General features: G+C 47.5%; 2 protein-coding genes and 1 long non-coding RNA gene across 13 annotated transcripts in view, besides 5 other annotated features; 2 read left to right on the plus strand and 1 right to left on the minus strand.

Moving 5' to 3' along the window:
• Positions 931-1,738: an enhancer, noted in NCBI's record as "H3K27ac-H3K4me1 hESC enhancer chr11:126152727-126153534 (GRCh37/hg19 assembly coordinates)". NCBI's record gives its function as "activates a minimal SCP1, AML or CMV promoter by ChIP-STARR-seq in naive H9 embryonic stem cells {active_cell/tissue: H9 hESC(naive)}" and the evidence as "EXISTENCE:reporter gene assay evidence [ECO:0000049][PMID:30033119]".
• Positions 955-1,364: a silencer, noted in NCBI's record as "silent region_4048". NCBI's record gives its function as "represses an Ori minimal core promoter by ATAC-STARR-seq in GM12878 lymphoblastoid cells {active_cell/tissue: GM12878}" and the evidence as "EXISTENCE:reporter gene assay evidence [ECO:0000049][PMID:35858748]".
• On the plus strand, positions 1,192-13,032 carry TIRAP (TIR domain containing adaptor protein). Of its 4 annotated transcripts, NM_001039661.2 has the most exons (6): positions 1,192-1,252; positions 7,764-7,916; positions 8,561-8,684; positions 8,902-9,060; positions 10,576-11,154; positions 11,767-13,032. In NM_001039661.2, exons 4-6 carry the CDS (start codon positions 8,994-8,996, stop codon positions 11,784-11,786), a joined length of 666 nt encoding a protein of 221 aa, NP_001034750.1. In that variant the 5' UTR covers positions 1,192-1,252; positions 7,764-7,916; positions 8,561-8,684; positions 8,902-8,993; the 3' UTR covers positions 11,787-13,032. The 4 variants fall into 4 exon arrangements, with proteins under 4 accessions (NP_001034750.1, NP_001305706.1, NP_683708.1 ...); NM_001318777.2 differs by lacking the exon at positions 7,764-7,916; NM_148910.3 differs by lacking the exon at positions 11,767-13,032 and having other exon boundaries at positions 7,764-7,932; positions 10,576-11,275.
• Positions 3,207-3,286: an enhancer, noted in NCBI's record as "active region_5706". NCBI's record gives its function as "activates an Ori minimal core promoter by ATAC-STARR-seq in GM12878 lymphoblastoid cells {active_cell/tissue: GM12878}" and the evidence as "EXISTENCE:reporter gene assay evidence [ECO:0000049][PMID:35858748]".
• Positions 10,907-11,411: an enhancer, noted in NCBI's record as "H3K4me1 hESC enhancer chr11:126162703-126163207 (GRCh37/hg19 assembly coordinates)". NCBI's record gives its function as "activates a minimal SCP1, AML or CMV promoter by ChIP-STARR-seq in primed H9 embryonic stem cells {active_cell/tissue: H9 hESC(primed)}" and the evidence as "EXISTENCE:reporter gene assay evidence [ECO:0000049][PMID:30033119]".
• On the minus strand, positions 12,395-22,421 carry TIRAP-AS1 (TIRAP antisense RNA 1). 7 transcript variants are annotated; one of them, NR_187385.1, is made up of 2 exons: positions 22,307-22,421; positions 12,395-12,693 (listed from the first exon to the last, which is right to left on the minus strand). It is a non-coding gene; the product is annotated as a TIRAP antisense RNA 1 (long non-coding RNA). The 7 variants fall into 7 exon arrangements; NR_187383.1 differs by having other exon boundaries at positions 12,395-12,701; NR_187387.1 differs by having other exon boundaries at positions 12,395-12,755.
• Positions 22,117-22,246: a silencer, noted in NCBI's record as "silent region_4049". NCBI's record gives its function as "represses an Ori minimal core promoter by ATAC-STARR-seq in GM12878 lymphoblastoid cells {active_cell/tissue: GM12878}" and the evidence as "EXISTENCE:reporter gene assay evidence [ECO:0000049][PMID:35858748]".
• Positions 22,159-23,782, plus strand: part of DCPS (decapping enzyme, scavenger) — a 45,946-nt gene continuing 44,322 nt past the window's right edge. The window contains exon 1 of one of the 2 annotated variants that reach the window (NM_001350236.2): positions 22,159-22,401. In NM_001350236.2, the coding sequence (NP_001337165.1) occupies positions 22,180-22,401 (222 nt within the window). In that variant the 5' untranslated portion in view covers positions 22,159-22,179. The remainder of the gene's footprint in view (positions 22,402-23,782) is intronic. The other variant, NM_014026.6, reaches the window with a different exon arrangement.

Here is a 23,782-nt window from a genome sequence, read left to right on the forward strand (position 1 = left end):
TTGGGTGCAGTGCCAAGTGCCTGATCTACTTTATGTAGACTAATCCTTGCAAGAACACCAGCAACCAGATACCATAATGTGATGAAGGAAGCAAGCCTAGAAAAGTTGCGTGACTTCACCAAGGCCACACAACTAGTAAGCGATGAGCGCTGGTTGTGAACCCAGGCAGTTGACTCCAGAGCCCTCCCAGGATGGGCAGCTCATCCGCTTTGGCGGGCTGGTGAGAAAAGGAGGAAATCAAATTGGAGGGGGAGATCATGAATCTTACATGGCCTAATTAAACTACCTCCACTCTCCAGCATTTCGTGCACATAGTTTTAGGATAGGGTTTCCCAAACTGGCATGGCCTGGAGCAAGACGCTCAGGAAGACATTCACATTTCTTGTAGAGTGAAACAAGTGTGGGGAATGCTCCGTTCCCTTCTCCCCAAGGTGCTTCACAGCGCTCACGAACATCTGAAGAGCTCTCAGAAGTGGGAGGCAAAGGCATCTCTTTCACCCAGGACTTCCAGCATCTTGCCTACACCACGCTGTTTGCAGCGGCTCTGCAGCATACTGCAGCGCTGTTCATAACGCCCATGTGGGATCACCGCTTAGAGAAGCAAAGAAAGCACTTTGGCAGAAGACGGGGTTTCCACCCTCCTCGGCATCAACCAGTGTCTGGGACGGGAACTGGCGGCCGCTGCGGCCTGGCTTCCCAGCTGCCGCCCGGGTCTGCCCCTCCCACACTGCAGCCCCGTACACCCCTCGCTGTGTGTGACCTTTGGAAAAGTTCCATCTCTCCAAGCTTCATGTTTCTCATTTGTATAAAAGGAAAAAGGTATGAACACCCCCCTTGCAGGGTGTTAGGAAGATTAAATGGGCGGAATAGGGTGTTTTTTTTTCCTTCTCCCCCGCCTAGAACAAAACCCAGGTTTCAGGTTGTCACGGTGGGCGCCGGGGGACCCTGGCCACGGGCTCCTCTCCGAGTTGCTGCGGACCGCCCCAACGCAAGCGGAGAGGACGGGAGCCCGGAGTCATGCAGAAGCCAGGCTGGCAGGGGCTCGGGCCGCAGTGGACACAGGGGCTGCCCCGTCCCGCGTCTCCCGCAGCCGGATTGTGCCCGAGAGTCTCCCGGGTCTGGACTGGGCCTGGCGGCGTGGGAGGGGCAGTGCGGCGGGCGGCGCTTCCGGAGAGCGGGGCCTGCGCGCTGCTCTTCCCCGCGGAGCCCGCGCAGTCCGCGCAGCCCTCATCGCAACTGGGCCCGCGCGCAGGTGAGCCCGGGGCGGGGTCGCGGGGGACCGGGAGGCGCGGCGGGGCTCCGTGGGGTGGGCGACGGAGCGCGGCCGGCCTGGGCCCCAGAGTCCCGGCCCCACCGAGAGCCGCAGGGGTGCGCGCCGCCTCTGGTCCGGCCTTGCCCTGCTGGCGGCACATCCGCTTCCCTTCTTCACCTTTCTGGCACCCGCAACACGCAAGCGGCATGAAAGGGCCCTCCGAGGAGAATGTCACCTTTTCTGTCGCAAAGAAGCTCGCGCGGGGCGGCTCCCCTTTCGCTTGCCTCGCTGGAAGAGCCTGGCGCTCAGTGCGTTGTGGATATCGTTTCTCCTCACGTTCTTCTCTGCTCCGGTCACAGCCTCTTCCTCTGCTCTTCGGGTTGTCATTGTGGCAGTGATTCAGCAAGTGCATAACATTAGTTAGGGTCAGGGACCTATCGAGGCATTACACCACAGTCATGGGCAGCTACACACGGGCTGGGCAGCCACTGTGCCAACGACTAGGGTGACCGCGGTGGACCAGACAGATCCAGTCTTCTGGTCCCCAGGGGACAGACAGGTACGCTAGAATCACAGCATACCCTAGAAGTGCAACAGAGAGGGGGAAGTGTGGAGAACTCCCGTTGAAACACCAAACCTAGGGGACACCAGGATCAGGAATGACTCAGAGGGAACCACATCTAGTTAGTTTTTAGATTTAAAAGAGTTGATACGTAGGCACACAAATCCTAAGTGTACAGCTCAACCATTTTCCACAACACGCACATTTCCTGATTCAGAGCAATCAATAAAACATGACTACATCCCTGGCTTCTAACGCCATAAAATAGGTTTGCCTGTTTTGGATTTTCCATCCATGGAATCATATATCATGTACTTCTTTTTTTTTTTTTTTTTTTTGAGATGGAGTTTCGCCTTTGTCCTCTGGGCTGGAGTGCAGTGGCGCAATCTCGGTTCACTGCAGCCTCCGCCTTGTGGGTTCAAGCGATTCTCCTGCCTCCTCCCGAGTAGCTGGGATTACAGGCGCCTGCCACCACGCCCGGCTAATTGTTGCATTTTCAGTAGCGACGGGGTTTCGCCATATTGGCCAGGGTGGTCTCGAACTCCTGAACTCAGGTGATCCGCCTGCCTCAGCCTTCCAGAGTGCTGGGATTACAGGCGTGAACCACTGCGCCCAGCCCTTCATGTACTCTTACGTGTGTGACGTCTGACATTCAGTATGTTTTGTGATATTCACCCATGTTTAGTTAGCAGTTTATTCTTGTTGGTATATAATATTCCATTGTATGGCTAGACCACAATTTATTTATCCATTCTACTGGACACGGGTTGATGGACAGTCGTTTCCACTGTGGGGTTATTTTGTATCTTGCTGCTACAGACATTCTTGTGAATGTCTTTTGGTAAACATCTGTAAGCAGGCGGGGAACAGTGGCTCACACCTGTAATCCCAGCACTTTGGGAGGCTGAGGCAGGCAGATTACGAGGTCAGGAGTTCGAGACCAGCCTAGTCAATATGGTGAAACCCCGTCTCTACTAAAAATACAAAAATCAGCCAGGCGTGATGGCGGGTGTCGGTAGTCCCAGCTATTTGGGAGGTTGAGGCAGGAGAATCGCTTGAACGTGGGAGGCAGAGGTTGCAGGGAGCCGAGATTATGCCACTGCACTCCAGCCCGGGCGACAGAGGGAGACTCCGTCTCAAAAAAAAAAAAAAAAATATGTAAGCACTGCTGTTTGAGTATATTCGTAGGACTGAAATTGCTGATGTGTGTATGCTCATCTTAGTCTATGGCCAAACACTTCTCCACCGGCAGTGTTCGAGTTCCCATCCCTGCACACTCTTACCACTACTTGATAGTCTTTTTCTCTGTAGCCATTTGGCTGAGTGCCCAGCAGTGATGCATTGAGGTTTTAGTTTGCATTTCTCTGATGACTAATGAACTGTTTTGATGTCTATTGCTCATTTGAATATTCCTTTTGTGAAGTGCCTGCTCAATTCTTCTGCTCATTTTTCTGTCGTCTTACTAGTTCCATTGAGTCCTTGAAATATTTGTGATATAAGACATTTATTGGATATATGTGTGTGTGTGTATATATATATATATATAATATATATTTTATTTGATTTTTGAGACGGAGTCTCTGTCACCCAGGCTGCAGTGCAATGGCGCAGTCTCAGCTCACTGCAACCTCCGTCTCCCAGGTTCAAGCGATTCTCCTGCTTTAGCCTCCCGAGTAGCTGGGATTACAGGCACCTGCCACCACACCCAGCTAATTTTTGTATTTTTAGTAGAGATGGGGTTTCACCATGTTGGCCAGGCTGATCTTGAACTCCTGACCTAGTTATCCGCCCGCCTCGGCCTCCCAAAGTGCCGGGATTACAGGTGTGAGCCACTGTGCCCAGCCCTGGATATATATTTTTAAACATTTTAACCCTCGGGAGATTGCCTTTTCACTCTCCTATTTATGTCTTTTGATGAACAGAAGTTCTTCATTCTAATGTTTTTTATTTTATCATTTTTTCCCCTTATAGTTGTATTATTTGAGTCTGGTTTTTAAAAAATCTTCCCTAGCAAGAAGACTCAGATAAAAGTAAAATTAAAGCTGGGCATGGTGGCTCATGCCTGTAATCCCAGCACTTTGGGAGGCTGAGGTGGGCGGATCACTTGAGGCCACGAGTTAGGAGACCAGCTTGGCCAACAAAGCAAGATCCTGTCTGTACCAAGAAAAATTAAAAAATGAAAAAAATAAATTAGGTAGGTGTGGTGGCTCACGTCTTTAATTCCAGCTACTCTAGAGGTTGAGATGGAAGACTGCTTGAGCCTTGGAGGTTGAGGCTGCAGTGAGCTGTAATCACAACACTGCACTCCAGCCTGGGTGACAGAGCAAGACCCTCTCTGGAAAAAAAAAAAAAAAAAAAAAAAAGGTCGGGTGTGGTGGCTCATGCCTGTATGTAATCCCAGCACTTTGGGAGGTTGAGGTGGGCCAATCACTTGAGGTCATGAGTTCCAGACCAGCCTGGTCAACATGGTAAAACCTCGTGTCTACTAAAAATACAAAAATTAGCTGGATGTGGTGGCGAGCACCTGTAGTCCCAGCTACTCAGGAGGCTGAGGCACAAGAATCACTTGAACCCAGGAGGCAGAGGTTGCAGTGAGCTGAGATTGTGCCACTGCACTCCAGCCTGGGTAATGGAATGAGTCTGTCTGAAAAAAAAAGAAAGTCATGGGTCCTTCTCACAGTCCCAGGTGTGAACACAGGGGGCCACCCTAGGTCTGCACCATAGTCTACAAACCTCTTTGAGAACACTGTGTTGTGTCTATCAAGCTATAAATGAATTATATTCAGGACTTTAAGTGACATTGTCCTGCAAACCATAATTAATCCTACCCAAACGTTTTAGCAAGTGTTTGAGAACAAAACAGCCTTTGAAACCAAAATTCTTTTAAATGTAAAGTCAAAGTCAGGTGAAGTATAGATGGTAATTTATTTATTTAAAGATGTAAAAACTGTTTCAAACAATTTGAACCTTTAAACAGACCAGGTTTTAGCACTCAACTGAAATCCAATACTTTCTCCATTCATTGGCCTGATCTAATCAGACACAGTGTAGTAGTTTCCTATTGCTGCTGTAACAAATTGCCACAAACTTAGTGGCCTCAAACAACACACATTGATTATCCTGCCGTTCTAAGATGGGTCAGCAAGGCCGTGCTCCTTCTGAAGGCTCCAGGAAAGAACCCATGGACTTGCCTTTTCCAGCTTCTAGAGGCCACCTGCATCCCACTGCCGCCTGCTTCCCTTGGCACAGCTCTTTCGTCTGCCTCAGACCTTCCTGCCTCCCTCTTGAAAGGATCTTTGTGGTTACATTAAACTCACCTGGGTAATCCAGGAATCCCTCCCCATCACAAGGTTCTTAATCACAGCTGCCGAATCCCCTTTTGCCACGGAAGGTAACATATTCTCAGTTCCGGGGATTAGGATGTGGGCCTCTTTGTGGGCCACTATTCTGTCTACCCCAGATAGTGATTCCTGCTTAACAGAAATCGAATATGAACTCTAAGAGATACATATTCTAATTATATGCCTTCACAGGCTCCAGTACATTCCCTATATAATAGAAATTGGAGACCAGTTTGATATTGGATACTAAATACACTTTGGATTTTTTTTTTTTTATTTTTGAGACTTGAGTCTTGCTCTGTTGCCCAGGCTGGAGTGCAGTGGCATGATCTCGGCTCACTGCAACCTCCACCTCCCGGGTTCAAGTGATTCTCCTGCCTCAGCCTCCTGAGCAGCTGGGATTACAGGCACGCACCACCACGCTTAGCTAATTTTTGTATTTTTAGTAGAGACAGGGTTTCACCATGTTGGCCAGGCTGATCTCAAATTCCTGACCTCATGATCCGCCCACCTCGGCCTCCCAAAGTGCTGGGATTACAGGCATGAGCCACTGTGCCCAGCCCACTTTGGATTTTATACAGCAAAACTCCATAATGTTTCCTTTACATCAGTTTCTGCACATAATATTGGAAAAGCATTCTAGAAAGCACTAAAGGTATTGTGCTACTTCTTTTCTGAAGAAATTCTTTACTAATTTTCTTTTCTTTATTTTTTTGAGATCGAGTCTCGCTCTGTCACCCAGGCTGGAGCACAGTGGTGCAATCTCGGCTCACTGCAACCTCTGCCTCCCAGGTTCAAGGGATTATCCAGCCTCAGCCACCCAAGTAGCTAGGATTACAGGTGTGCGACACCATGCCTGGCTAATTTTTGTATTTTTAGTAGAGACAGGGTTTCGACCTGTCGGCCAGGCTGGTCTTGAACTCCTGAGCTCACATGATCTGCCCACCTCGGCCTCCCAAAGTGCTGGGATTACAGGGGAGCACCAGCACACCCGGCTAAATTTTGTATTTTTAGTAGAGAAGGGGTTTTGACAGGCTGGTCTGGAACTCCTGAGCTCACATGATCTGCCCACCTCGGCCTCCCAAAGTGCTGGGATTACAGGCATGAGCCACTGAGCCCGTTCCCTTTACTAATTTTCTATCAAGTCATAGTTCTTACAAAGTGGGTATTTTTGGTATGATTCTACTTTATGAATTTTTTCAAAGCACAAAGAAAGCGACTGCGTATTAGACCACACAGCAAATCAGAGAATAGGCAGAGCTAGTGAGTAGAGCTTCCAGTTGGAGATTTGGGTTCATTACCTTACCTACTTGTCAACCACATCTCAAGATATGATGACAGTTACCAGGTCTTGGAAAGATTAACACGTGTTTGAATATGTGACAGTTCCACAGCTCCAGCTACAAAAGAACTGAAAAGGAACAGGGAAGGTGCATGGCGTCTTGGATTCCAGGAAGTAGGCAGTGTGTATGGTTACTGGAATTTACCTGCCATCTTGCTCAATTATCCTGTCAAAGGTGCTGTTATTTTTCTCTTTAAAACGTTTCCATGTTTCTCATGAGGGCTTATACCACCGCACTTCTGGTGGCATATACTGCTGGACAACTGGATTTCTTCTTAACCAAGCAATGGAAAAGCAATTTCCCCCAATTAGCATGCGTTGCCAAAAGGGCAAGTCATTTCATAAAATGAGAAACTGAAACTTTAAAATCTACATATATTAAGTAGATTAACATATTATGTTAATTTTTAACCTTTAGAATATTTACAAATCAAATGATGCTCTAGTTTACAAGTGCACCAAGGCCAAATAATTAATATTAAAATTAAAACAGAATTGAAAAAATATTTAAAAAATGCAAAAACCAAGTGACATCATGTTTACTACTGGGGGCAAAAAGGCATCCTGAACGGCCCTAGCTGCAGCCTACCACTTAGGCTGTCTGAAATCCCAAGCATATTAGGAAAGAAAAGAAACTCATATACATACTCATAGTCAACGTCCAGTGCCGTTTTGGTGGCTTCACATTTAGCTGTGTTGCTTTTTCAGATGTCTTCTCTGGTTCCTGTACCCATTCCAACCCTTTGCTCTGCCTCCTTTGCTGCTATGGTTTAAGTTCTACTTCTTTTTTGAACTTTGATATATGATCACAAATCCTCAGCATCCCTTGTCTTCTACGCATCAGTGAACAAAGCATTAATGTGCAGCATAGAATGACATTCTTTAATTTTTTTTATTGAGATGGAGTTTCGCTCTTGTTGCCCAGGCTGGAGTGCAGTGGTATAATCTCAGCTCACTGCAACCTCCGCCTCCAGGTTCAAGAGATTCTTCTGCCTCAGCCTCCCAAGTAGCTGGGATTATAGGCGCCTGCCACCATGCCCAGCTAATTTTTGTATTTTCAGTAGAGACAGGGGTTTTACCATGTTGGCCAGGCTAGGCTTGAACTCCTGACTTCAGGTGATCCGCCGCCTTGGCCTCCCAAAATGCTAGGATTACAGGCGTGAGCCATTGTGCCTGGCCACATTCTTTAAATTTTGAAACCTTTTATTTTAGTGTGTCTAATAATACTTGCTTCCATGAGTTCTCAGGTTTGTTTTGATCTCACAGATCCACCAAAGAGAAAGCAGCCCTGTGCCAGTTGCTCTGCCAGCCTTTCACAGGAGAAGTGTCACTAGAATACTACAGCCCCCACAGGCTCTGCTCCACAGAAACTTAAGGCTGAAAGAGTGTCCGCCATCAGGGACATCCTCTGTCACTACGGTGGGAAAAGAACATGGCAGGTTGCCTTTCTAAGGGATTCTTGGGCCTTTGTATTTCCATATAAATTTAGAAGCAGTCTGACAACCTCCCCACCAAAAAACCTAAAAAACAAAAATCTTCTAGACTTTGGAACAGCACTGAATTAATGATCAGTTTGGGAAACGTTAACATTACAAGTTTAATAAACCATGAACATAATATACCCCTCCAATATCTAGATTATTTTATATACATAGTAGCCCACATTTTCTAAGCATTTATTACATGCCAGGCACCATTAGGACTTTACATAAATGATTTCATTTAATCTTCACAATAATGCTGAGAAGGAGGCTCTAGTACTTCCATTTCACGGATGGAGAAACGAGTTTAGCAAGGTGGCCAAAGGTCACGGTTAACCAGAGATGAGAATCAGGCACTCTACCTGCAGTCTGCAGTCTGTACCACTTTTTGACATGACCTTCCTGAGCTGACGGCTGCAGGGGCGATGGGTCTATGGATGGAGTTATTCAGGGGGAGGCAGACTTGGAGGAAAAGTCTCCCAAGATTTCCTGCATGTGCTCTCTCTCTACTGTTCAGCTTCTGTCTATCTGGATACATAATTATTTGTCCAAATAGCAACTGTCCTTCTTCTGCCATTTCAGGCCTTACATAGGAAGTCCTTCTAAAGAGCTGCCTGCCAGCTGCCCTTCCCCAGATCCCGAATATCCTCCTGGCCAGGTGGAGCAGAGAACAGTTCCTCAGCTGGTCATGCTGAGCTCATACCCTGTAAGTCTGACCACACTACACAGCTTTGGCTTTATCTAGAATCCAGCTCCAATCACAGTCGTGTCTGGCCCTAATCTCATGAGGAATGAAAGACCCATTTAGAGAAGAAGCCTCTGTCAGGCATTAGGAGAGAAACAGAACTTCGCAGAGCTCATCCATGGGGAATGAGAGCAGGGTAAGTGCAGCCTTTGTGATTCTCTCTCTCTACCCTCTGTAGGATGGCTGCTCCATGAGGTCAAGACTGGGTCTCCTCCCTCCTCCCCCTTCACCAATGCCTGGTCTCACGGGGCTAGTTTTGACCCCCACGCTATGGCATCATCGACCTCCCTCCCAGCTCCTGGCTCTCGGCCTAAGAAGCCTCTAGGCAAGATGGCTGGTGAGTGGAACCGGACTCGCGACTCTGCTGTGTTCCTGAGTGTAGTGCTCAGCCTCCATAGGGCGCGGTGGGAGGCCTGCCTGGTCCAAACTCAGAGAGACGCAGGAAGGCTGACGTGGGGAACTCCTGACCTGAATTCAGGGCCTGGATGCTTTGTGGAGAGTGAGGAGGGGAGGCCTGCGTCAGCTCAGCCAGATCTTTATCCTTTTGGCTCAAAGGTTTTCCAGGCCTGCTCAGCTAGCTTTCCTAGCCTGGAAACCACTGTGCTGAGTGCTTAACACTGTCTCTTGTCGTCCAAATCTTTGTTCCAGAACCATTTAGAGGAGAAGCCAAGCAGAGAGAGAAAATGAATCAATCCCCACCACAACTATCTGTCCTTATCAAAGGCTGGGGAAGCTGTTTTCATCTCCTTATGGAGTCCCATACTCCAAACACAGACCTGAGCAGTGTTTCTCCCCCACAGACTGGTTCAGGCAGACCCTGCTGAAGAAGCCCAAGAAGAGGCCCGGCTCCCTGACATACCTGACACTGCATTATCTCAGTTAACTTTCAGCAACTAAGACAGGTCCACAAGTCCACAGTCAAAGCCGTGTCCCTGACTCCAGAGTGTGGGTTCTGAATCACGAAGCTCTCTGCTCCTCAGCAACTCTGAGCAGTAGCCTCTTCCCCATTTAGCGACAATCTAGGATTTCTTGGGGCCAAACAGATGCCAGTCCTCCGTACCCCTTCCTTCCTGTATACGTAGCCCTTCCTAATCTAAGTCCACCTCCCCTCAGTGCTGAAAGTGGGCTTTGGGACTGATGGATCCTTGCTAGCATAACGTAGCTCTGCCTGCAGACTCCCGGTGGTTGACTAGTCAGCTCTAGTGGGAAGTTCTGCTTAAGGTGGGCTGGGCTGGGGGTACCAGATATCAAAGGGCCTGGAGTAGTGCAAGGCCATTTCTCTTAACCAGGCTGGTGGAACACTCTCACATAAGGATTCCAGAGTTCTGACACGTCCAAAACCTTTACCTTTAGAGGGCACTTTTAGGCAAGTCCCAAAAGATAAACAAAAATAGCAGAGTGCTGGGCACAGTGGCTCACGCCTGTAATCCCAGCACTTTGGGAGGCTGAGGCGGGCAGATCATGAGGTCAGAAGTTCAAGACCAGCCTGACCAACATGGTGAAACCCCGTCTCTACTAAAAATACAAAAATTAGCCAGGTGTGGTGGTGCATGCCTGTAATCCCAGCTACTCAGGAGGCTGAGGCAGGAGAATCGCTTGAACCTGGGAGGCAGAAGTTGCAGTGAGCCAAGATCGCACCACTGTACTCCAGCCTGGGTGAGAGTGAGACTCTGCCTCAAAAAAAAAAAAAAAAAATAGTGGAGCAACAGGTCTCTGAGAATAAGATGTTTCCCAGTGCAGGGAGGTGGGCTGCAGTCTGTCTGTCCTCCCTGTGAGGTGGGGCTCCTCCCTGTGTGGGCAGTGAGAGGGCACCTGGTAACACACAGGCCTGAGCAGTGTTTCTCCCCCACAGACTGGTTCAGGCAGACCCTGCTGAAGAAGCCCAAGAAGAGGCCCAACTCCCCAGAAAGCACCTCCAGCGATGCTTCACAGCCTACCTCACAGGACAGCCCACTACCCCCAAGCCTCAGCTCAGTCACGTCTCCCAGCCTGCCACCCACACATGCGAGTGACAGTGGCAGTAGTCGCTGGAGCAAAGACTATGACGTCTGCGTGTGCCACAGTGAGGAAGACCTGGTGGCCGCCCAGGACCTGGTCTCCTACTTGGAAGGCAGCACTGCCAGCCTGCGCTGCTTCCTGCAACTCCGGGATGCAACCCCAGGCGGCGCTATAGTGTCCGAGCTGTGCCAGGCACTGAGCAGTAGTCACTGCCGGGTGCTGCTCATCACGCCGGGCTTCCTTCAGGACCCCTGGTGCAAGTACCAGATGCTGCAGGCCCTGACCGAGGCTCCAGGGGCCGAGGGCTGCACCATCCCCCTGCTGTCGGGCCTCAGCAGAGCTGCCTACCCACCTGAGCTCCGATTCATGTACTACGTCGATGGCAGGGGCCCTGATGGTGGCTTTCGTCAAGTCAAAGAAGCTGTCATGCGTTGTAAGCTACTACAGGAGGGAGAAGGGGAACGGGATTCAGCTACAGTATCTGATCTACTTTGACTTTTAGGAGACAGCCCTGTAGCCTAGTAGTTCAAAGCGCAGCTTCTGGAAAAGGCTGTCGGGGTTTGTATCCTGGCTCCTGCACTTATTAACCCATAAAAAGTAACTTGGCCAAGTTACTCACCCGCTCTGTGCCTTGGTTTCCTCACTGACCAACAGGTTTCCATTGCTATGAAATGAGAACAGTATATACACGAAGGGCTCAGAACATGGCCTAGCACATGTATTCATAACAGGCAGCGCCTAGCACAAATCAGGTCCTCAAGTTAATAGCTAGTAGTAGTAACAGTAATAGCATTAGGTTTCTCTGAGATCAGGCTGGAGATGTCCATCAAGAGCTGGGAAGGTGCCAGGAGGGACATTGGTTTAGTAAGGCAAAATGATGCAAAATAATAGGAAAGAAGTGCATATAAGTGTATCTGGGGAGGGCCATGCTATTGCAGTAGGTTTGGAAGTGTAATAGATAAAAAGATAGAAGAGGCAGGACCTGTTGGGGAAAACAGATGCTGGGTTTGGGAGGTGTGACAACGCTGTGATTGGTCTCTTTCAGATCTGCAGACACTCAGTTGACACTTGTTATATCATGGGACCCCGGAAATTGGAGTGAAGCTAGAAACAGAAAACCCATGCAGGGCCTCGGATTCCCACAAATGTGACAAGAGGTATAGGGAGTGAGTCACAGCGCTTTGCTCGTGACCCTGGGATCAGAGCACCCATCAGGCTTCCATTACTGTGGGCTCCCTAAGAAGACCATGGAGAGCTTGGGGACTCCCCCAGGAAGGCCGTGAAGCTGGGGATTCCCCCTAGGAAAGCCATGAGGAAGCTGGGGACTCCCCAAGAAGGCCATGAGGAAGCCAGAAATTGGAGGTGGTAGGAAGTGGTACTGATCAATGATGGCCAGCAGGACTCATCTCCTGCCTAACTGGACAGGAAGCCTGGCACCCACTTCTGTCTTCCCCTGGAACTGGGCACTGGCGTACACTGGTATCCCTCCTAAAGAAGTGACTCACCTGACTGATCAGCAAGAAGCCTAGATTGCAGGCCTCACCATGGATGGTCTTCCTAGTTGCCTGGGGAAACCCTGGAATGGGCATCAGGAGAAAGCAACAAGAATCCAGTCCTTCACACTCACACTACTCTGTTCCTCTTCCCAGAGACATCGATTCACTTCAAAGAGCTGTAGGGAAGATGCAGTCAGCACTGCACTGTATTTTTTATTTATTGCCTAGGTGCCATTAAAGACACAAACCTAGAAGCCTAGAGGCCATTCTGAATATGGGGGTGGGGTGGTGGAGGGAGCAAGTGAAGAGATGGGAATCCAGGGCTCAGGGTTCAATGCCTTCACCTGAGATCACAAGCCCATGGATGCTGTGACATCTGGGAGCTTCATCAGTGGTCTGGCTAAAGCTGATACTTTCACAGTCACCATCTTCACCTTTGGACTGGGAAGAATCACCATTTTTCTTCTGGCAGATGACTGTATTCCTTATAGGACAGGCAAGGTTTCATTCATCTGTTCTCAGTAAGTTTGTTGTTGAACTGAAATGAATTTCATTATTTCCTCCAATGTGTACTTTTGTGCCCCCCTCTCACTTCTCCCTATCATGACCCCTCTTTTGCTGAAAAAAATTTTTATTATTTTTTCTATCTCTAGTTCTAGAAAGAGAAAATTTATTTTTTAAATTATAAACTATTTTGCCAGGCGCCATGGCTCACACCTGTAATCTCAGCACTTTGGGAGGCCGAGGCAGGTGGATCACCTGAGGTCAGGAGTTCAAGACTAGCCTGGCCAATATGGTGAAACCCTGTCTCTACTAAAAAAACAAAAAAAATCAGCTGGGTGTGGTGGCGGGGGCCTGTAGTCTCAACTACTCGGGAGGTTGAGGCAGGAGAATTGCTTGAACCTGGGAGGTGGAGATTGCAGTGAGCTGAAATCACGCCACTGCACTCGAGCCTGGGCAACTGAGCGAGACTCTGTCTCAAAAAAAAAAGGCCAGGCATGGTGGCTCATGCCTGTAATCCTAGTACTTTGGGAGGCTGAGGTGGGCAGAATACAAGGTCAAGAGATCAAGACCATCCTGGCCAACATGGTGAAACCCCATCTCTACTAAAAATACAAAAATTAGCTGGGTGTGGTGGCGTGGGCCTGTAGTCCCAGCTACTCGGGAGGCTGAGGCAGGAGAATTGCTTGAACCTGGGAGGCAGAAGTTGCAGTGAGCCGATATTGCACCACCGCACTCCAGCCTGGGTGACAGAGTGAGACTCCATCTCAAAAAAAAGAAAAAAAAATTATTTTATTATGCACAAAAGGATTAACAAATAATATGTCCACTCATGTGCCTACCACCCAGTTTAAGAAGCAAAACCTTATCATCCCTTATAGTGGTCCCTTTGTGCCCTGAATTGCAGTCTCCCCTTCCCCCACCAGAAATAACCAGCATTTTGAATTTTGAACTTCTTGCTTTTAGCTTTTCTCTATACATTTACTACATATGTATGCACCTCCACCAGCATACTGTGTAGTTTTACATGGTTTTATATTTTATGTAAACAGCGTTACAGCGTTTGTATTCTGCAGATTCCTTTCCTTGTTCACCAAATGTGAGATTTATCCATGCGGATGGATGACATGCCAGTTATTAATAATACACTTTCATCCCACGATGTAAATATGCCACCATTTAGTTACACATTCTTCTCCAAATGGGTATTTGGTGTTCCTAGGTTTTTGCTATTAAAAACAATGAGCCTCTGAACTTTTTTGTACATTTTCACAAGCAAGATTTTCTAGGATTTAGCCTAGAAAATCCTGCTGGGGCTGGGTGTGGTGGCTCATGCCTGTAATCCTAACACTTTGGGAGGCCGAGGCGAGCGCATCACTTGAGGCCAGGAGTTTGAGACCAGCCTGGCCAACATAGTGAAACCCTGTCTTTACTAAAAATACAAAAATTAGCCAGGCATGGTGGTGCACGCCTGTAATCCCAGCTACTTGGGAGGCTGAGGCAGGAGAATTGCTTGAGCCTGGGAGGCAGAGGTTGCAGTGAGCTGAGATATCGCACCACTGCACTCTAGCCTGGGTGACAGAGCGAGACTCCATCTCAAAAAAAAAAAAAAAAAGAATATACATACTATTTTTCTAGAAGATGCCACAGTTTCTTCCAAATTGGCTGTACCAATTTAAGTTCCTACAATTTGTGTTTAAGAGTTCCCACTTTTTCATGTTCTTGCTAACGTTCAGAGTTATCATATTTTTAAATGTTTGCTAATCTGGTGGATGAAAACTGGTAAACTATTGTTATTTTTTTTCCTTTTCATCATTTTTATGAAAAAAAAAATCAAGCATATACTGAAAGGAAGAAGTTTGATGAATCCCTATGTGCCTGTCAGCTAGCTTCAACAATTACCAACTCTGAGCTACTCTTTTATCAATAATACCCTACTCATATCTCTCACTCCCCACAAGATCATTTGAAGCAAACCTCAGAAATCACTTTATTCCTAAATATTTAAGTATGCATCTCTAACTTATTAAAATTTTTTTGGTTTTGTTTTTTGTTTTTCTGAAACGGAATTTCACTCTTGTTGCCCAGGCTGGAGTGCAATGGCGCAATCTTGGCTCACTGCAACCTCTGTCTCCCAGGTTCAAGTGATTCTCCTGCCTAAGTCTGGGATTACAGGCATGCACCACCACACCCGGCTAATTTTTGTATTTTTAGTAGAGATGGGGTTTCACCATATTGGCCAGGCTAGTCTTGAACTTCTGACTTCAGGTGATCCACCTGCCTCGGCCTCCCAAAGTGCTGGGATTACAGGCGTGAAGCACCACGCCCAGCCTGAAATAATATTTTACCTTTTACTTTGTGCTTTTTGTGTTTTACTCAGGAAGTCCTCCCCTACATCTGTTTTCTTCTGTATTTCTTTTCATATTTAGGTCTTTAATCCACCTGGATTTTTTGTTTGGGTTTTTGTTGTTCTTTAGTCAAAGATCCAATTCTTTTTTCTATTTAAATAACCATCATTGACTGACTAGTCCATCCTTACCCCACCCCTACTGATTATGATGTCACTGCTGTCACATATTGTCATACGTGGGGGGCTGTTACTGGGTTCTCCAGTCTCCTCCCTTTACTTTATCTGTTTGTGTATCCCTGTGCTGGTGCCACACTGCCTCGTTCACTGATGTTTTTAATAAGCCTGCACCATTTGTATGTCAATTCTTCCTGCTCTTCTTATCCATCAAAAATCACTTTAACTTTTCTTGTTCCTTTACTCTTCCATATAAATTGTTTATTCAACCATCAGGTTCCAGGAAAAAGCCTGTTAGTATTTTCATTGGACTTACATGGAATTTGTAGATTTTGAAAAAACAGATATTTTTATGAGTCTTCCTATTCATAAAAATAGTATGTCTCCATTTACTTATGTCTTTAAGTGTATTTCAGTAAAGCTTTCTATCTTTTCCACATTGGTCAGCTCCTCTTTTTATTAGAATTATTCCCTAGCATTTCATATTTTCTGTTGCTGTTGTAAAGGGTAATTTTACATTTTTATCTATTACTGATATAAAGAATTGTAATTTATTTCACATATTGATCTAGTATTAAGCAGCATGCTGAATTACTTAATTCTATATGACTATAAACTTTGCAGGGACTTGCTGTTGCCCAGGCTGGAGTGCAGTGGTGTGATCATGGCTCACCACTGCCTCGACCTCCTGGGCCCAAGCAATGATTCTCCTATCTCAGCCCTCTGAGTAGCTGGGACCACAGGCCTGTGCCACCACTCCTGACTAATTTTTCTGTACTTTTTGTAGAGATGGGGTTTTGCCATGTTGCCCAGGCTAGTCTTGAACTCTTGGGTTCAAGCCATCTGCCTGCCTGGTCTTCCCAAAGAGCTGGGATGACAGGTGTGAGCCACCACACCTGTCTTGTTGAATTTTCTATAAACAGTCATACAATTTGCAAAAGAAAACAAAAACTTTAGTTCCTTGTGTGGTTCCTAAGGCCTCCAATAAAACAAAGTGACAATAGCAGCCATCCTTGTCTCATTCCTTAGAAGGAATGCTTCACACATTTCTCCACTAAATGTGTGCGTTGTAGGTTTTCTGATACATAATTTTTTCTTTTTTTTTTTTTTTTAGTCTTGCTCTGTCGCCCAGGCTGGAGTGCAGTGGCGCAACCTTGGCTCACTGCAACCTTTGCCTCCCAGGTTCAAGCGATTCTCCTGCCTCAGCCTCCCAAGTAGCTGGGACTACAGGTGCGTGTCACCACACCCAGATAATTTTTTGTATTTTTAGTAGCGATAGGGTTTCACCGTGTTAGCCAGGAGGGTCTCGATCTCCTGACCTCATGATCCACCCACCTCGGGCTCCCAAAGTGCTGGAATTACAGGCATGAGCCACTGCACCCAGCCTTTTTTTAATTATTATTTGAAGAATTTAAGATTGGAATTAATTGCTCCTTGAATGTTTGGTAGACTCATCTGTAATACCATTTGAGCCTAGAATATTCTGGTTTTTTTGAGACGGAGTCTTGCCCTATTGCCCAGGCCGGAGTGCAGTGGGATTACACGCGTGAGCCACCATGCCTGGCCAGAATATTCTTTATTGTAAAATTTAAAGCTGTAATTTCAATGTCTTGAAGAGTTATAGATCTAATTAGATTTTCCATTTCTCCTGGAGTCAATTTGGTACAAACAGTCAATAAAGACTACAAGACCAGTTTAAGTAGATTTTTCAGTTTGAGTGTCCTGGATCATGTACACAATCATGAATGTGAAGTCTGTCTGCATGAAGAATCATCTGTGGTTATAAATTCTTAGGAGGTTTTTTCCTTCTTCCCTCTGGAACAACGGTTGAAGCAGGCAAGTTTCCTAATCACCTTCTCTCCTTTAGTAGGGCAGCATTTTTCTTTTTTATAAATAGTTGGCCTGGCCAGGCATGGTGGCTCACGCCTATAATCCTAGCACTTTGGGAGGCCAAGGCGAGCAGATCACCCAAGGTCAGGAGTTCGAGACCAGCCTGACCAACGTGGCGAAACTCCGTCTCTACTAAAAATACAAAAAAATTAGCTATGCGTGGTGGTGGGTGCCTGTAATCCCAGCTACTCAGGAGGCTGATGCATGAGAATCGCTTGAATCCAGGCAGCGGAGGTTGCAGTGAGCTGAGATCGCGCCACTGTACTCCAGCCTGGGCGACAGAGTGAGACTCCGTATCCAAAAAAAAAAAAAAAAAAAAAAAATTGTTGGCCCCTTCATTGAGCTAGTGGACCTTCAGGGTTCTTAGCTCTATAGAAAGTTCTGTATCTTAATTCCTCTTTACATAAGCTCAGGTCTTGTCTCTTGTCCCTTGAATCGGGTCCTAGACGTCTAGAGATCAGCAATGGCCCTTAAAATAGCTTCCACCTTAAAAATCCCCTTACCACTCTATAGATTCAAACTCCCACATCATTTTTGGTTCCTGCAAATTTTACTTTTTTGAGAGCTCAGCAACGTAACTAAAAGAATGTTTTAAATTTTACATCCAGAATGTTCGGGTATTTTGTAGCTGACTTGTTTTCAGTTTAGTCTGTTATAATCCCTGAAATGGAACTGGGAAGTATCCAATCCTTCTTTAGACTAAAAAAGAAAAGATTTGGGAGGTTTTTTTTTTTTTTTTTTTTTGAGACAGAGTCTCGCTCTGTCACTCAGGCTGGAGCACAGTGGTGCAATCTTGGCTCATTACAACCTCCGCCTCCAGGTTCAAGCCATTCTCCTGCCTCAGCCTCCCGAGTAGCTGGAATTATAGGTGCCTGCTGCCACACTCAGCTAATTTTTGTATTTTTAATAGAGATGGGGTTTCGCCATGTTAGCCAGGCTAGTCTCAAACTCCTGACCTCAAGTGATCCACCCGCCTTGGCCTCCCAAAGTGCTGGGATTACAGGCGTGAGCCACCGCACCTTGCGTGGGAGAAATTTTAAGATTTCTGAAAAACAATTGAACAGGGCTTTATAATAAATGAGTAAGCTAATACAGCATTGTCTAGTAGAACTTCCTTTGATAATGAAAATGTTCTCCATCTGTGCTCATACGATAGCCACAAGTGGATATCAAGCACTTGCAAAGTGGCTAGTGTAACTGAGGAAATGAATTTTAACTACTACCATAAAGATTCCTTTCACACTGAGGTCTGGTATTTAATAGAACCTCTGGTAGCTGAGGCTTCCTATGAGCTCATCCTTTCCTTGGCATTCTTTTTTTTTAAGAGACAAAGCCTCGCTCTCTTGCCCAGGCTGGAGGGCAGTGGTGTGATTATAGCTCACTGCAGCCTCAAACTTCTGGGCTCAAGTGGTCCTCCCACCTCAGCCTCCTAAGTAGCTGGGACTACAGGTATGAGCCACCACGTGGGGCATGAGCCAGGCCTTTTTGAAGAGTAGAATTCTGGTTTTATATTTTAATCAAAATTATACCCATATTGATTAATTTTGCCGCTAATGAATACATTTCTCTACTATTTCATTTCAAATGTTTCTATTTTGCTCATTATATTTTAGCTACACAGGTCATTCCTTTTGAGACAGAGTCTTGCTCTGTCACCCAGGTTGAAGTGCAGTGGCGCGACCTTGGCTCACTGCAACCTGCACCTCCTGAGTTCAAGTGATTCTCCTGCCTCAGCCTCCCAGGTAGCTGGGATTACAGGCGCACACCACCACACCCAGCTAATTTTTGTATTTTTAGTACAGACTATGTTTCACCATGTTGGCCAGGCTGGTCTCGAGCTCCTGATCTGAAGTGATCCGCCCACCTCAGCCTCCCAAAGTGCTGGGATTACAGGTGTAAGCCACCATGCCCCACGGTCATTCCTATTTTTTAAAAATGTCAAGCACATTACTGCTCTAGGGCCTTTGACAGCTAATATTTACTGTGCCTGGGCTCTTCATATGGCTGATATGGCTGGTTCCTTCTCATCATTCAAGTCTCAGCTCAAATGTCACCTTTTGAGAGGCTGTCCATGATCATCTTATCTAAAGAGCTTGGCCGAGCATGGTGGCTCATGCCTGTAATCCCAACACTTTGGGAGATGGGCAGGTCACCTGAGGTCAGGAGTTTGAGACCAGCCTGGCCAACATGGCAAAACCCCATCTCTACTAAAAATACAAAAATTGGCCAGGTGTGCTAGTGTACGCCTGTAATCCCAGCTACTTAGAAGGCTGAGGCAGAAGAGTCGCTTGAACCTGGGAGGTGAAGGTTGCAGTGAGCCAAGATTGCACCACTGTACTCCAGCCTGGGTGACAGAGTGAGACTCTGTCTCAAAGAAAGAAAAAAAAGGGCGGGGGGGGGGGGCTCCTATCCCCAGGCTCTTTCACACTGTCCAGTTTTGTCCTATTAACAGTACTTGGCCGGGCACGGTGGCTCACGCCTGTAATCCCAGCACTTTGGGAGGCTGAGGCGGGCAGATCACGAGGTCAGGAAATTGAGACCATCCTGGCTAACACGGTGAAACCCCGTCTCTACTAAAAATACAAAAAATTAGCCAGGCGTGGTGGTAGGCCCCTGTAGTCCCAGCTACTTGGGAGGCTGAGGCAGGAGAATGGCGTGAACCTGGGAGGTGGAGCTTGCAGTGAGCCGAGATCGCACCACTGCACTCCAGCCTGGGCGACAGAGGGAGACTCCGTCTCAAAAAAAAACAAAAAACAAAAAACAAAAAACAGTTCTTAATCATTATCTTGTTTACCTCATGTACCCCATTTGAATATACATTTTATGAAAGAAGAGGCCTCGTTGTCTTGCTTAGAACTAATAGCCGCTGGCACATGGAAAATGGAGACCTGGAAAGGTTAAGAGACTTTTCCAAAGTTGCACAGCTAGTCAGTGTTGGGGCCCGACTTCATGGCTCTCAATTATGGGCTCTTTTTGTTAAAACATAGCTACTTTGGCAGGGTGCGGTGGCTCACGCCTGTAATGCCAGCTCTTTGGGAGGCCCAGGCGGGCGGATCACGAGGTCAGGAGTTCGAGACCAGCCTGGCCAACATGGTGAAACCCTGACTCTACTAAAAATACAAAAAATTAGCCGGGAGTGGTAGCAGCCGCCTGTAATACCAGCTACTCAGGAAGTTGAGGCAGGAGAATCGCTTGAACCTGGAGGCAGAGGTTGCAGTGAGCCGAGATCGCGCCATTGCACTCCAGCCTGGGGGACAGATCCTAAGTCTCTCCTAATAATGCTTTCTGCATCACACACACACACACACACACACACAAAGTAGTCCTTTTTTTTTTTTTTTTTTTTTGAGATGGAGTCTCGCTCTGTCACCCAGGCTGGAGTGCAGTGGCGCGATCTCAGCTAACTGCAAGCTCCGCCTCCCGGGTTCACGCCATTCTCCTGCCTCAGCCTCCCAAGTAGCTGGGACTACAGGCGCCCGCCACCACGCCTGGCTAATTTTTTTGTATCTTTAGTAGAGACGGAGTTTCACCACGTTAGCCAGGATGGTCTCGATCTCCTGACCTCGTGATCCGCCCACCTCGGCCTCCCAAAGTGCTGGGATTACAGGCATGAGCCACCGCGCCTGGCCTAAAGTAGTCTTTTATCCAACTCCTAATCTATATTTCTGGTAGAAGTAATCCAAAAATCAAACTAACACATGGTACACTTTGTTATTGACCAAAAACTGACTGTAAATTGCATCTTGTTGCTAACGTTGAGAATGGCAAAAACTGTCCCACACCCATGAGATCTGTCTGAAAACCTAAACTCAAATCACTGGCAAAATAAATGTGTGGCTGACTGAAGCGATGTAAGTACCAACTCTTTTTTTTTTTCTTTGAGACGTAGTCTCGCTCTGTCGCCAGGGTGGAGTGCAGTGGTGCGATCTCGGCTCACTACAATACTCCGCCCGCGTTCAAGCGATTTTCCTGCCTCAGCCTCCCGAGTAGCTGGGACTACAGGCGCGGGCCACCACGCCCGGGTAATTTTTGTATTTTTAGTAGAGACGGGGTTTCACCATGTTGGCCAGGATGGTCTCGGTATCTTAACCTCGTGATCCGTCCACCTCGACCTCTCGAAGTGCTGGAATTACAGGCGTGAGCCACCGCGCCTGTCCGTAAGTACCAACTCTTCACAAAATTTAGATCTGTTAAATAACACCAGTGAAAAACGGGCTAACCAGAAACAATGGTCACCAAAGAAACCCTCAACAGCAGAAGTTACAAGTAATAATTTTATATGGCAAAAAAAAAAAAAAAAAAAAAAAAAAAGAGAAACGAAACCCTGGGAGACGAATCATACTGCAAATCATATCCCTGGGTAGCAGGGCAGAAATACAGGTAAACAAAATAGAGAGGAGGGGGATGCCTCTAGCCCGGAAATAAGTGGGTGGTGGAGATGGTTCTTCTGGCCATATTCGTTTACCTTTTTTGTCAGCAGAAAAGTACTGAGTCTACAAAGTAAAAAACTGACCACGATGAAAATTTCTGCAAAGTAATTAAAATGGGAGAAAAATGGAAATGGCTTAAATACTCGGTATAAAAAATCGACCAAGGAATCAAATGGGCTCACGGATTTGCGTCAGAAACGTTGCTTCCCCGATAATTGGTCAACGTCGGTGTAACTATGATTAAAATGTCAGTATTCAAACAAGGGCTCCAACACTACCGTGGCCCAAGGGCGTCTTCGGCTCCCACCCCGGGGCGTGGGCCTGGGGGTCCCTCTTCACTGCGCAGCCACCTCTAGCCCGCCGCTTTCGGGACTCTCAGCCTTCTTTTCCCTTCCCTGAGGGCCGGCCGGCACCACAACGGGGCCAAAGGCAGTAACTCGGTTGAAAGGCGCGCCCTGGGACAGGTCAGCGGGCTCCGCCATGCGCGGCACGCATCCCGCAGGAGCGGGTGCCAGAGCAGGGTAGGCCGGGAGTTAGCAGCCCAGCCAGGCCGCTGGACTCGGGCTAGGGGCGGGGCCAGCGCAGGGGGCGCAGGCGCACACCGCCTCCGCGGCAGCATGGCGGACGCAGCTCCTCAACTAGGCAAGAGGAAGCGCGAATTGGACGTGGAGGAGGCCCACGCCGCCAGCACAGAGGAAAAGGAGGCAGGAGTTGGAAATGGTACCTGTGCTCCTGTCCGCTTACCGTTCTCCGGCTTCAGACTGCAGAAGGTGCTGAGGGAGTCTGCGCGGGACAAAATCATTTTCCTACACGGGAAGGTACCAGGAGGCAACCCTGAGGTGGGATGCGGGAAGCAGTGAACCAATCATCGCCTCGGAGGCAGATTTTTTTTTTTCGGATCTCGGCTGGAAAATACCAATCATTATCACTCCGGGGAGGCGGGAGTGCGCCACTAGAATGCATAGAGGGGCGGTGAAAGGCGGCAAGATTGCCTTTGAAATTAAGGCAATGAACACATCTAGCTCTAATTTTTCTAATGTCTCCACTAGAAATATCTACTGGGAGAGTGCATTGCAGATTAAAGATCACATGTTACATTCCCCAAGCCATTCATCATCCATTTATGTATACAGGGACTAGGAACCCAGTCAATGTTAGATGTCTCGCTCATCCCTGTCCGTGGAAACGACATGAGACTGTAGGAGATGTGATCTCTGCCTTACGCGACTTCAGCCGTAACAGGAGAACAATATATTATAATTGTTAATTCAGTTCTACGCACGCACTTTCATGCATGCCAGACACTAAACTAGGTACTGGGGATGTGGAGACGAAAGTTACCATCCCTGATCTTCAGGACTACGGAATATTTCTGGCGAGACAGATACACACAGCTTGCTCCAATACCAACGTGCTCAGCAATCTGGCAGGGGCTGAGGAGAGATGGAGACCATTCCAGGAACTAGTGAGGAGGCCTAGCCAGAGCAGATATGGGGGTTCCCCAGAAACTAGTGAGGAGGCCTAGCCAGGGCAGATAAGGGGGTTCCCTAGAACTACTAGCAGGAACTCTCACCTTTGGGAGGATCAGGGAACCTTGGCCTAGGCTTCCATGCCTCTGTGTGTATCTGGTTTTTAAATTTTTATTTATTTATTTATTTATTTTTGAGACGGAGTCTCTCCTCTCTGTCACCCAGGCTAGAGTGCAGTGATGTGATCTCGGCTCACTGCAACCTCTGCCTCCCGAGTTCAAGCTATTCTACCTGCCTCAGCCTGCCCAATAGCTGGGATTACAGGCCCCCGCCACCATGCCCAGCTAATTTTTGTATTTTTAGTAGAGATGGGGGTTTCACCATGTTGGCCAGGCTGGTCTCGAACTCCTGACCTCAGGTGATCCGCCTGCCTCTGCCTCCCAAAGTGCTGGGATTACAGGCGTGAGCCACCGCACCCGCCTTTTTTTTTTTTTTTTTTTTTTTTGAGATGGAGTTTCACTCTTCTTGTCCAGGCTGGAGTGCAATGGCACTATCTTGGCTCACTGCAACCTCCACTTTCTGGATTCAAGTGATTCTCCTGCCTCAGCCTCCCAAGTAGCTGGGATTACAGGCATCTGCCACCATGCCCAGCTAATTTTCGTATTTTTAGTAGAGACAGGGTTTCACCATGTTGGCCAGGCTGGTCTTGAACTCCTGACCTCAGGTGATCCACCCACCTCTGCCTCCCAAA

The sequence above is a fragment of the Homo sapiens genome, chromosome 11 (genome assembly GCF_000001405.40).
Source record: "Homo sapiens chromosome 11, GRCh38.p14 Primary Assembly".
NCBI classification, from domain to species: domain Eukaryota; kingdom Metazoa; phylum Chordata; class Mammalia; order Primates; family Hominidae; genus Homo; species Homo sapiens.

What these genes read in the sequence shown, in the direction of transcription:
- TIRAP (NM_148910.3), top strand. Translation starts at nt 8,994, where the DNA reads ATGGCATCATCGACCTCCCTCCCAGCTCCTGGCTCTCGGCCTAAGAAG. An exon ending in GCCTCTAGGCAAGATGGCTG is followed by an intron (nt 9,061 to 10,575) that starts GTGAGTGGAACC and finishes TCTCCCCCACAG; the next exon opens with ACTGGTTCAGGCAGACCCTG.